At 39.9% G+C, this 13,230-nt stretch overlaps 1 long non-coding RNA gene across 1 annotated transcript; it reads left to right on the forward strand.

Moving 5' to 3' along the window:
* Positions 1-2,599: 2,599 nt before the first annotated feature.
* Positions 2,600-12,504, forward strand: LOC124901251 (uncharacterized). The gene is made up of 2 exons (XR_007059425.1): positions 2,600-3,004; positions 9,674-12,504. It is a non-coding gene; the product is annotated as an uncharacterized LOC124901251 (long non-coding RNA).
* The last annotated feature ends 726 nt before the right edge of the window (positions 12,505-13,230 follow it).

A 13,230-nucleotide genomic window follows, 5' to 3' on the forward strand; every position in this document is an offset into this window, starting at 1 on the left:
ACTAGCCAAAGCAATCTTGAGCAAAAAGAACAAAGCTGGAGGCATTACCGGCTCTGATTTCAAAATATATTACAAAGTTATACTAACCAAAATAACATGTACTATCATAAAAACAGACACATAGGACAACGGAAAAGAACAGAAAGCCCAGAAATAAGTCACACATGTGTGGTCAACAAGTCTTTAACAAAAGTGCCAAGAATACACAACGGGGAAAAGACAGTCTCTTCAATAAGTGGTGTTGAGAAAACTGGATACCCCCATGCAAGAAAACGAAACTGTATCTTTATTTTATACCATACACAAAGATCAACTCAAAGAGACTGAAACATAGCCCTGAAACTCTAAAACTCCCAGAAGAAAACATAGGTGAAAAGCTTCATGACATTGGTCTTGGCAATGATGGTTTGGATATGAAACCAAAAGCACAAAGGAACAAGTGAGACTACATCAAACTAAAAGTTTCTGCACAGCAAAAGAAACAATCAACAACAACAAAAAGCAACCTACAGAATGGGAGAAAATATTTGCAAGCCATACATCTGATAAGGGGTTAATATCCACAATATATGAGCAACTCATACAACTCAACAGAAAAAAACGAAACTTGATTAAAAAGCAGAGAGAGGAGTTGAGTAGACATTGTTCCCAAGAAGACATACAAATGACTAACGGGTATATGAAAAGATGTTCAACATCACTAACCATCAGGGAAGTGATAATCAAAACCACTATGAGATGTCACTTCACGCCTGTTAGGATGGCTATTATCAGAATGACAAGAGATAACAAATGTTGGTGAGGATGTGGAGCAAATAAAACCCTTGTCCACGATCGATGGGAATGTAAATTGGTACAGGCATCATGGAAAACAATAGGGAAGTTTCTCAAAAAAGGAAAAATAGAACCACCATGTGATCAGCAATCCCATTGTGAGGTCTATATCCAAAGAAAATGAAATCAGTATCTTAAAGATATATCTGTTCTTTGCAGCATTATTCACCAAGATACAGCCAAGATACAGAAATAACCTAAATGTCCATTGACAGATGAATGGATAAAATGTTGTATATACACATGCAATGAAATATTATTCAGCCTTTAAAAAGAAGGACATTCTGTTATTTGTGACAACATAAACCTGAAATCCAAAAATGTCAAATCATGGAAACAGAGAGTAGAATAGTGGTTACTGGAGGCTGAAGGGGAGGGATATGGGAAGATGTTGGTCAAAGGGTATGAGCGAGGTCTGTTATGTAAGGTAAATAAGGTCTGGACAACTACATACAGCAATGTGACTACAGTAACAGTATTGTAGACTTGAAATTTGCTGAGAAGGCAGCTCTTAAGTGTTCTCACCACATCAAAAAATGATAACGATGTGAGGTGATAAACGCATTAATTTGCTTGATTGTGGTGGACAGTTCACAATGTATACATATATTGAATCATTGAGTTGTACGCCTTAAATATATAAAATTTTTAATTGTCAACTATACCTCAGTGATGTTGGGGAAAAAGAGAATAGTGTGACATGCATTATATAATGCCCCCCAAATACGTCCACATCTGATTCCGAGACCTCTGAAGATCTTACGTTATTTGGCAAGGAGGAATTAGGTTGCAGGTGGGTTTAAGGTTGCTAATCAGCTGACTTTGAGATAGGAAGATAATCCTGGATTATCTGGGGGCCCAATGACATCACAAGGGTCCTCACAAGTGGAAGAAGGGGCAGGCAGGAGGGTCAGAGAAGACAAGGCAACAGACTCAGAGAGGCAGGCTGACATGATGGGAGAAGGATTCTGCAGGCCATTGCTGGCTTGGAGGATGGACGAAGGGGATTGCCAAAGATAAACAAAGCTGGACACTGATTAAAATGATCAGGACAGATTTAAATCAGTAAAAACAATTGCTGATTTAACAGGGAGAGGGGTCTGTGGTGAACTGCACTCAACTTTGTACAGAAGTGAACCAGCGTGTTGAAGGGAGAATGCGAGAGTGGGAGGGGAGAAGCTGGAAAAAGCCAAAAACCAGATTCTTCCCCAGAGCCCCTAGAAAGGAACATGGCCCTGCTGGCACTCGGAGTTTAGCTCAGCGAGACTCATTTGGACTTCTGACCTGTAGAATCCTAAGAGAAAAAACATATGTTGTTTTAAGACACGGCGTTCGTGACAATTTGTTGCAGTGACAATAGGAAACTAATACAAATAGCCAGAACTTAGATAAGCAGAGAATCCAGACCTCTGGTGTGAAGAGAGGACCATGGGGAGGAGATAAATCTCACTACAACAAAGTGTTTGATTTGGGAAGAAAGAATCGCTAACACACATGGAGCTCTCCTTGTTCCGGCGGGGTTTAAGCACTCAGGCATGCATTTTCAAGAATGCTCTGAGGTTGGTACTATTATTATCCCCATTTGCAGGGGAGCAGACTGAGGCACAGAGAGGTTAAATAAGTTGTCTAAAATCACAGTGGTGGTACGTGCTGAGGTAGTAAGAGACAATACAGAGGGTGTGACTGCAGTGCTAAGGCGGTGAACTCCTGAGAGCTGCTGCGGCCCCTTTCCCAGCCTCAAAATGGTATGAGAGGGGTGGTGGGCCCTGCTCCTCTCACCGGGCAATGGCTCACTCAGCCTGGTTGGCTGCCTCTCTAAGCCTGGGGTCTGTCTCTGTGAGGAGCAGAGGGCAGGCCTGGGGAGCACATCCCCCATGTCCTTGCCATGTTGATAGTAAACCAAAGTGAGTAACTGCCATTCTTCCCAAACCCTGAACCTGGGCTGTCCTTCTGTCTGGCTGAGCTCATTACCAGCTGGGAGGTGAGGCCCTGGCTTTCAGACCCTGACCTTGACCACGACCTTTCACTGCCTCTCTGCAGCCAGGTGTGGGGAGTAGAGAAGGCCCCTGTGATGAAGAGCCTCCAGTGCCAGGACCAATATGGCAGATGTTAGGAACAGTGGACTGACCTGCTTTCCAATGCTTGCTGAAAAGTCACCTGGCAGCAAGAGGTAGGAAGAATCAGTGGAGGGGTTTACGTGAATATTCACAGCGACATTATTCATAATAGCCATAAGGCAGGAGAAACTCAAATGTCCCTCAATGGGTGAATGGGTCTAAAAGGTTTCTTTTTGAGGTGATATGAAAATTGACTGTGAAGATGGTTGCACATAACTGTAAATATAATAAAATCCATTGAATTATATACTTTAGTGGGGTGAATTGTATGGTATGTAAATTATATCTCAATGAAGCTGTCAAAAAGGTTAGTTGGGGAGAAGCTCCAAGCCAGCAGAGTGCTCTGTGCCACCCCAAGATGTGACATCTGGGGATGCAAAGACTGGAACTGTCAGCCAAGGCTAAGAGCCAGGCTGCAAGCTGGAACCAGGTTGTCCCAGAAACAGTGGACAGACACGCAGGGTGGGGTCCCTCAAAGAGCCTCAGAATCAAGCTGGGCACAGATTCAAACCTGGCAGGCCTCTCACCCTAGGTTTTCTCATTCAAAAAGTGAGAGGTCAGAGGTCAGCGTTCTTCGACCTCAGTACACCAAAGACCTTCAAGCTCTCAGGGACTCTGCTCTGGACCTCAGGATGAAGGGTGAGGGGTAGAAATAATAAGTGGGAGGTTAGGACAGGGGTGAGGAGAGAGGACTGAAGTCACACATGCTCATGCTGTGGGAAGAAATGGGAAGAGGCAGGTGTCCATTGGTTGGGGCCGCCAGACAAGCCTTACTCTGAGTCCTCCCACCGGTGGAAAGAGGCTCAAGACAGAAACTGGTGGTGTGGGAAGAGCATCTCAAGCTGGAAAGGAGCAGTTCCTTGCCACACCTGTAGATGCTTGACAGGTAGAAGGCTTCTGCCACTGTGAGGTCAGGAGGAAGGGGTGGGGGAGAATCAAAAGCAAGGGATGCATTTCATTCATTGCATTCCTGCACGCATGCAGTAAGAAAATATTTTTTAAGTTCAGGGCACCTTGAAGAGAGAGGTGAACAAAGAGAACAAAGTCCACATCCTCAAAGAGCTTTTGTTTTAGAGCTGTGCTGTCCGAGATGGCGGCCACTAGCACGTGTAGCTACCAAGCCCTTGAAATGTGGCCAGTCTGAATGAGAGGTAAACAAAGGGCAAAATACACATCAATTTCAAAATTTAGACCAAAAAATGTGAAGTATCTCATTAATGATTTTTCATATTGATTACATGTTGAAATAATAGTATTCGGGATATCATGGTGATATGGTTTGGCTCTCTGTCCCCACCTAAATCTCATCTAGAATTGTAATCCCCACATGTTGAGGGAGGGAACCGATGGAAGGTGATTGGATCATGGGGGCAGTTTCCCCCATGCTATTCTCGTGATAATGAGGGAGTTCTCATGAGATCTGATGGTTTAAAAGTGGCATTTTCCCCTGCACTCTATTGCCTGCCACCATGTAAGATGTGCCTTGCTTCCCCTTCACCTTCTGCCATGATTGTAAGTTTCCTGAGGCTTCCCCAGCCATGCAGAACTGTGAGTCAATTAAATCTTTTTTCTTTATAAGTTACCCAGTCCAGGTAGTAACTTTATAGCAGCGTGAAAATGGACCAATATACACGATTAAGTGAAATAAATTCTTAAAATTAATTTTACCTGTTTCTTTATGCCCTTTTAAATGTGGCTACCATAAAATGTAAAATTACAGATGTGGCTCAAATTATATTTCTATTGAATAGCATTGCTCTAGTAGGAGAAACAGACAATAAATAAGAAATAAACAGACATAACAATATCAGTAATGTTTGATAGAATGGTCTTTCTAGGGAGATGGTGTCCGTGGAGAGGCTTTGGAGGAGCAGCAGGCAGTGTGGCTGGGGATGGTGAGCATGGTAGGTGGCTGGAGGGGATGTAGGCAGAACTGATCTTTGAGCAGCCTTGAAGACTGTTGTGCCTACGAATTTACAGGCCTTGGCAATGGTGACTGACTGGACACAGGAAAAAAGTGAGAGGGCAGGGACAGAAGTCAACATGAGGTTCTGAGCCAGTGTGACTGGCGAGCTGCTGGTTTGCCTAGATCGGGATGGAGATAGGACCTGTGATGAATTCTGAACTCTTGTCTCATCCTGCTAAGTCTGAGTTGGCTCGAGGAAATTCAAATGGACATGTACAGTTTCCACTGGAGATAGTCCTGGAGCTTAGCAGCAAGGCTGGGGATGAAAACACACAGTTTAAAGTTATCTTAGAGGAGACCCTTGAGCCCACACACACGGATGTGTTACTGAGGGTAATGAGAGTGGGGAAGGAAATGACAGTTGGTCAGATGTAGCTCGAGTCCTGGCTCTGCCACTTCCCACCTTCCTGTACTTCCTCATCTGTGTGATGAATTTAAAATGGTCACGAACCATTTTGATGTTGTTTTTATTCCCTCATCTTGAATGTGGGCTGGCCCTGTGACTACCCCCAGCCACTGGAGCACAGAGGAAATGATGCTGCTCTGGTTCCAGGCTTAGACCTAAGAGGAGTGACAGCATCTGCCTCATTCTTCTGGAGCCCTGAGTTACTAAGTAAGAACTTCTACCCTAAGTCTGCCATGTTGTGAGGAAGCCCACAGGTGAAGAGGCTGGGCAGAGAAATACAGAAGGTTACTTAAATAGCCAAGACATTCCAGAGGAGGCTCCAGACACCATGGGAGAGACAGAAGTTATTCTTCCTCCATCCTGTCCACATTCCTAGCCCACAAAACGATGAGGTATAAGAATAATCAATTGTTGTCTTAAGGTACTAAGTTTTGTAGAAGTTTGTTATTCAGCAATAGATAAATGGAATAGTATGTAAAATGGGATAATAATTTATATCTTATTTGATTGCTAGAAGGAGGATGTAAAATGCCAAGTACAGTTTCTGGCACTGGATAGGTACTAAATCAATACTCTTTTTCTTTCTCTTTGAAAGGCTTATGCTATAAAGTCAAAATCTGTGAGGTTCAGCCTTGTGAAATGACATCAAATAAGCTGAAGTCCTATTTCATGTCTATTTTTTTAAACATATGGAAATGACAACTGACCATAGGCTATCTTCCCTATGCTAGATTGCCTATTCTCCCCTCAGTTACACTGGTCTCAAGGCATGTTCTCCTGGTCACTCTTTCCAGAATCTGATCTAATTGAAAATTCTCCGTTTGAGTGAGTTGCCCTAGAAGGGCCGCCTTAGGTGTGGTCAGTGCAGTGCTGGTCAGAAGTGTGTCTCCTCACTTTGTTGGGACACACCACCCCACTCACCATGCTGGCAGAACAGACCAATACTGTAGGCTTCTAGGATTCTGCTTCTATTATTCAGTGTGTTTACTATCACTTTCAGTTTCATGATATCACAGACTCGATCAATTATACTGTTACTCTTCTTATCCAAATCATTTATCAAAATGTCGGACAAGTCTGCAGTGAGGGTAGAGCCAATAGAGACCTCACTATCTGTTGACATTTGTTCATTAATAGGCCCTGTTGGGTATGTTTGTTCAACCAGTTATGTGTGAATCACCCAGCACTTCTGTCATCCAGCCCACATTTTTTCCCATCTGTTTATGGGAGTATTCAGTTTCACTCTTTAGCATATACGATCTGCTTTTGTTCCACTGCAATAGCTGGTGTTGTTTGCCTAACTGTGATAGGTGCCACTGCAGGCAGGAGCCACGTCCTGTTTTTCTTAGATGACCTCTATGTTGAACATGTAGGAAGTGCTCAGCGAGCTCTTGAATGAGCTCTTTCAACCATATCATTCCATCAGGATGCCTGCTTTCTTACATGTGTCTGTTCTGACCCTGCATCTTAGCATACATCTAAGGAAACTTACATCTAAAGAAGGAAATTCTACAATATGTGACAACACGAATGACTCTTGAGGACATAGCACATTTCTGTTTATAATTATCTTATACGTAGGATATGTGAAAAAATACTCAATTTGATTTAAATTCCTGTTTTAAGAGAATCAACTACATTTAACCTAGGATGAATCCTTAACAGTTGGATTATGGAAAATTATACAAATCAGGAAGAGCAGCTAAGAAAGGTTTGCCTTAGGCTCCTCCAGGAGAGAGCTGCACTATAAAGATGTAAGCTAAGATGCAGCTCCAAAAAGTGAAGCTGCTTACTAACAATGAGCTGGAGCTCACTGAAGATGAGTAGATGCTGGCTGTGTGGGAATACAAAGAACAATCACTTGCGAGGATGTGGAGGAACTGGAACCCTTCTGCACTGTCAGTGGGCATGTAAAATGGTGTAGCTGCTGTGGAAAATGGTATCGTCAAAAAAAATACATAGAATTACCTTATGATTTAGCAATCCCACTTCTGGGTATATACCTCCCAAAATTGAGATCAGGATCTCAAAAAGATATCTGCATCCCATGTTCATTGAAATACCAGTCACAATAGCCAAGACATGGAAACAACCTAAGTGTTCGTTGATAGATGAATGGATAAAGAGAATGTGGTATATATGTACAATGGAATATTATCCAGTTTTTTAAAAAAAGGAAATTCTAAAATATGTGACACCATGAATGGCTTTTGAGGACATGTTGTTAGTGAAAAAGCCAGTCACAAAAGGACAAATACGGCATGATTCCACTGACATGAGGTACCTAAAACAGTCAAACTAGCAGAAGCAGAGAATACAGTTCCTAGGAGCTGGGGGGAGAAGGAAATGGGGAATTGGAAATAAAGTTTTAGTTATGTAAGATGAATTAGTTATAGAGATATGTTGTTGCATAATGCTTATAGTCAATAATAATGTATTATTTGCACTTAAAAATTTCTTAAGTGGGTAGATCTCATGTTAAATGCTCTTACCACACATAAAAATACCAAGGGACACAAGGAAGCTTTTGGAGGTGATGGATATGTCTATTGGCTTGAATATATGGTGATGATTTCTAGGAAATGTACATGTGTCCAAACTCATCAAATTGTATACGTCAAATGTGTAGTTTATTATATAACAATTATATCTCAATAAAACTTCTATTATTTATGTATTTATTTTGAGATGGAATCTCGCTCTGTCACCCAGGCTAGAGTGCAGTGTCGTGATCTCAGCTCACTGCAACCTCCGCTTCTCAGGTTCAAGCAATCTTCCCACCTCAGCCTCCCGAGTAGCTAGGATTACAGGCATGTGCCACCAGGCCCGGGTTAATTTTTTTGAGTTCTTAGCAGAGATGGAGTATCACCATGTTGGCCAGGCTGGTCTTGAACTCCTGACCTCAAGTGATCCTCCTGCCTCGGCCTCTCAAAGTGCTGGGATTACAGGCATGAGCCGCCACTACACCTTTGCCAAAAAACTGTTTTTTAAAAAAGAGAGAAACAATCAGCCCAGATGAACTTGGTGAGTTCATAGGCACTTAGTGTGTAGAAAACTTGTTAAAATGCTGTTTAGCCACTGAGAGCAGAGACAGTCAAAACAGATTGACCAAGGCCAAATTAAGAAGAGATCATTTTAATGGTTATAAATCTTTATTTTTAAATTTTCTTCTATTTTTATTTTGATTATTTATGACCAATAAGAGAAGTTTAAAACTTTTGTCCAATCAAACCATATTTATTGAGATGGTTATTAAATCATGGTCAAGACCGTGGAACAGATTATCTACATTCAACGCAGCCACCTCAGTCATTAGCTGGGGTGAATTATTTAACATCTTGCGGCCTCAGTTGCATCATCTGGAAACTCTTCATACAATTTGTTGGAATTATTAAATCAGATAAGAGATGTAAAAGACTTAGAACAGTGCCTGGCATATAGGCATTGCTATTTAAGTGACAAGTATTAGTATTTATTTGGATACTCAGGTAATATTTTCTCTGGACTCTATTCAAATCCTAACATTGTTCTTTCTTAAATTGAAATTGCTGCTATGCAACTTTAAGAAATGCACTTAGAGACCATAAATTGGTAAAGAGATGATTAGAAAGAAAAGACATTTAGAATTCTTTTAGGGCATGCCCCAGACCTTCAAAGAGCAAAGTCAGTCACTGTCACTGAAAGGCACAAAAAGAGTAACACTTTCTGATTTGTGGATCTGCATTATTTATGCCAGTAATTCTCAAATTTTAAAACATCACCTGGGGTGCAGCTTAAAAACACAGACACTTCCTGTTGAACCTCCTCTTCCTGTCAACTTCAGAAATTAAGATTCAGTAGTTTTGGAAGTTCAGAAGCCAGAACTCTTAATGAGCCCTGCAGATAATTTTTAGTCTTCCTTCCTCCTTGCTCTTTCATGACTCTTTTCCTCTCCATTTTTCATTCATTCATTCACCCATCCATCTGCAGTGCCTATCACTTGAATTCCCTTCCTAAGTTTATATAATCCAGAAATTAAAATATTAGATATTTGCTCATACTGAAACCTGGCAGTAAAAACATAGACATGTGACTTAAACATAGATGTGTGATCGAAACACAGATGTGTGACTGAAACACACAGATGTGTGACTTAAGCCCATCAGAGACCTGAATCTAGAGTAAGGGTGTGAGGACACAAGGGCAGCTCAGGGTTCACAGCTATGGTGGCAACTGACCGATTCCTGGGATGTGGCCCTCACAAGTTTCCATCAGTCTGGTTTTCGACCCTGGCTCTCTAGGCGTAGCTTACCCCAAATGCATGATTACTTCACAGCCATCTGAGAAACTCTTTTTTTTTTTTTACCTTAGGTTAACCAGTGTTGGTTCCTGTTGTTTACAACCAAGAATCCTGAGAAGTTCATATGTAGCCCACACATAAGCTGAAGTATTGCCTTATGACATATTCTGAATATTCCAATTATTTTGCAAATAATTCCACTAAGAGATTAATACATTCTAGAGCATGTAGCTGTGGTTCATTCATTTTCATAACTGTGTAATATTTCATTGAATAAATTTGCTCTTTCTATATTTTCAAACCACTTTATTGAGATATTGTTGAAATGTTAAAAAGTTGTACATATTGAATGTATGTAACTGGATTTTGAGGGTAAGTATACACCCATGAAACTATCACTACCATCCATCACCTCCTAGCTTTCTCTCACCCCCTTTATCATCATCATCATTAGTATTATTTGTGCTGTAATATATTTATCCATTTTATTTTTGATGGACATTTGATATTGATGGGTATTGTTTTCAAGTTTTGCATTACAATGCTGATATAAGGATTTCTGTATGTATATTTTAGTGTACATGAAAAAGTATTTTTCTGTGATATATTCCTGAGAATAGAATTGCTAAATCATAGAAAATGCATATGTTTAAACTTATTAGATAATGCTATTTTTCTAAAGTGAGTAAAACAACTTATTCTCCCACCAGGAGTTACTGAGAGAATTTAAATATTTGCCTAAAAGTCCTTTAATATTTTGTTACATTTATGGCTAGGTATTTTATGTTTTGGTTGCTTTTATAAGTAGTAATTTTTTATTTTTTAACCATCAGTTACTGGTGTATAGATATGCAGCTGACTTTTGTATATCAAATTTATGTCTAGAAACCTTACTAATCTCAGATTTATTTGGGTTTTTTCTGGGAAAGACAATCATATTATCTGGAAATAATGCCAATTTTGTTTTTAAATTTGTAGTTCTTATACTTTGTATTTCTTTTTCTTGTCTTATTGCACAATGTGGGAACCTTCAGTAGAATGTTCACTATAAATGGCACTGGCAAACATTTTTGCTTTATTTGACTTTAAAGGAGTTGCTTTTAATATTTGACTATTTAATATGACATATGCTGTATTTAAATCTTTAAAAAAGTCTAAGAAAAATTTTCTATTTCTAGTTTGCTAAGAATATTTTTTAAAAACATAAACAATTGTTGCTAATTAAGTTCTAACTTACACCTGCTTTAAAGGGTTCAAAAGATTTTCTGTATTCTTGCCCTTTTATTTTTTCCTTGAAGCCTGGAATATTGTTTTCATAATTAGCTGTTAAGCTAACATTCACACTCATACACACAGGCATTCATTCATTCACTCATCAAGACTTTATTGAGTGTCTGCCAACTGAGGTATGCAGAAGATACAAAAGTCTACTGAGTAAAATAAGAAGTACACCAACAATTAATAGGGATTTCCCATCTGCACTTCGTGGTTGCTTCAGGGTTTGATATTACTCTTCAGAGGCAAGCAGCCAGAATCGAAAGAACAAGCTTAAGGAATGATACTATAGCATGGCCCTGAGATCATGGTAGGTGCTCTGTAGAGAGGTCTCTATCAAATGTCACGGAATAGTGAAACCAGGGAGTCGAGCAGGACTTATTCTTAGAATCATCAGCATTTAGGGCTGGAAGATACCTCAAGGCCACTTGGCTGAAACTCTCATGTGGTACTCTTTTTGACAGATGTCTAGTCATTGCTTGTGTACTTCCAGTCAAGGATGGAAAACTCCACAAAACACTCTGACCATTGTTTGTCACTGTAATTGTTAGAACAATTTTTCTTAAATTGAGGTGAACTTTCCCTCCTGGTGGTCTTTTCCTTGTGATCTCACTATGCCCCATGCATCCACCAAAAACCTTCCCCTGCCTCTCTATATGTTGGCTTTCCACATAAGAGAATGCAGGTATCATGTCTCCTGAGACTTCTCCAATCCAGAGTAAACACTTCCCAGTTCCTTCCACAGCTTCTCATAAGAATTCTTTCCCAACTACTCACCATTCCTCTTCTGGGCACACTGCTTTCATCAACATCTCTCTTCAAACTTAGCATCAAAGTCACATGAAATCACCATGATTTGTGATCATGAAGCTGACACCTTCTTGTCCTCACTATTACCCATTCCACCTAGCTTTTCCATATTCATCTCTGAATGAATCCCTACTTTCTCCTTTCAAAACCAGGGCACCTTGGAGAGACATGTAGGTGTCATTACAAGTAAAGGTGATGCAGAAGGAAATACATCAATTTTTCCAGAAAGATAATGAGCTACGTGAATGGGTAACTGCTCCAGTGCTCAGAAGAGCAGTTCTTTATGGTGCTAAGACATTAAGAACCTTCTCTCCACAGTCCAGGAAAGAAGGCATTGTATGGTACTGTGAATAATATACAAAACAACCCTTTACATTAAAGAAAATAATGCACTTATATTTGTTGTGATATTCACCATTGCTTTTGAAATGCAAATGTCAAATATGCATAATGACATAACGTAGTGCTGGAGTAGCTGTGGGGCCTTGGTTGAATCACCCAATTTCTCCAATCTTCAGTTTCTTTTTCAATTCACCCAGTGTCTTCTTCAACTATGAAATAGCATGACAGTAATAATCACTTGCAAATCTACCTCCCAGGAAGAACGTGTTGGACCTTCACAAACTATGACCAGCCTTCAAATGCAAAACATTATTGTCATAGTGAGTGTGGTTTTGTCAGAGTGAGATAATATTGTCAAAATAACAAAATCCAACTCAAACGTGCACTGCTTTTGCATTCTTAAATTGCTCCAAAGTATTTATCCATAATTTTTAGATACAGAATGGTCTAGAAGACATTAAAATTCTCAGAACAACCTGTTGAATGTTGTCTTACTTCTCGTTGTTCATCAAGCACATCACCTTATGGATTGCCTGGAGCATATATCTAATTTTCTATTTAGAAACAAATGTTGTTTTCACCAATTACTCCACTGGGGGTCATTCCCCAACTCATGACCTTTCTTCTTGTGGATGAGATCATTGAGAAGTGGCTGTCCAGCCAAGAAAACTGACACTCCAGACAACTAGCCCCAGAGATGCCCAGACTCTTCCTGAGGTCCCAGTTCCTACTTTTATCTCTGGTCCCTGATGCCTGTGGAGCTTTCTGCCCAACCCATTTTAGCTTTTGACTGCACAAGAAGAATAAGAGGTACAAATACGGCCAGAGAAGACAATTAATTACTAATATAAGCCAATCCAAAGGGGCTTTAAAAGGAGCATTCTAACCTTTTGAGAATCATAAATAATGTAGATAATTTCCCCATGTTTTATGCAAGTATAATTTTTTGGTGGTAAACAGTAAGATGAGATATAGATATATCTATATTTCCCATCCAAAACTGTATGTAATTAGCATTTGGAAGACTGTAATTATAGCCTGGTTGGGCTTTTTTGTAGGTGCTAAAATTGATTTCTTGGCTGAATTATTTTGCAATAGACTTAAACTACTAATTGTTCACCTAAATGAAATTGAGTGTGAACAAATCAAATAACTTTTATTTTACCTTGGATAACAATTTATTGATGCAAATAAAACTCCT

This window comes from Homo sapiens, chromosome 6 (assembly GCF_000001405.40).
Source record: "Homo sapiens chromosome 6, GRCh38.p14 Primary Assembly".
NCBI classification, from domain to species: domain Eukaryota; kingdom Metazoa; phylum Chordata; class Mammalia; order Primates; family Hominidae; genus Homo; species Homo sapiens.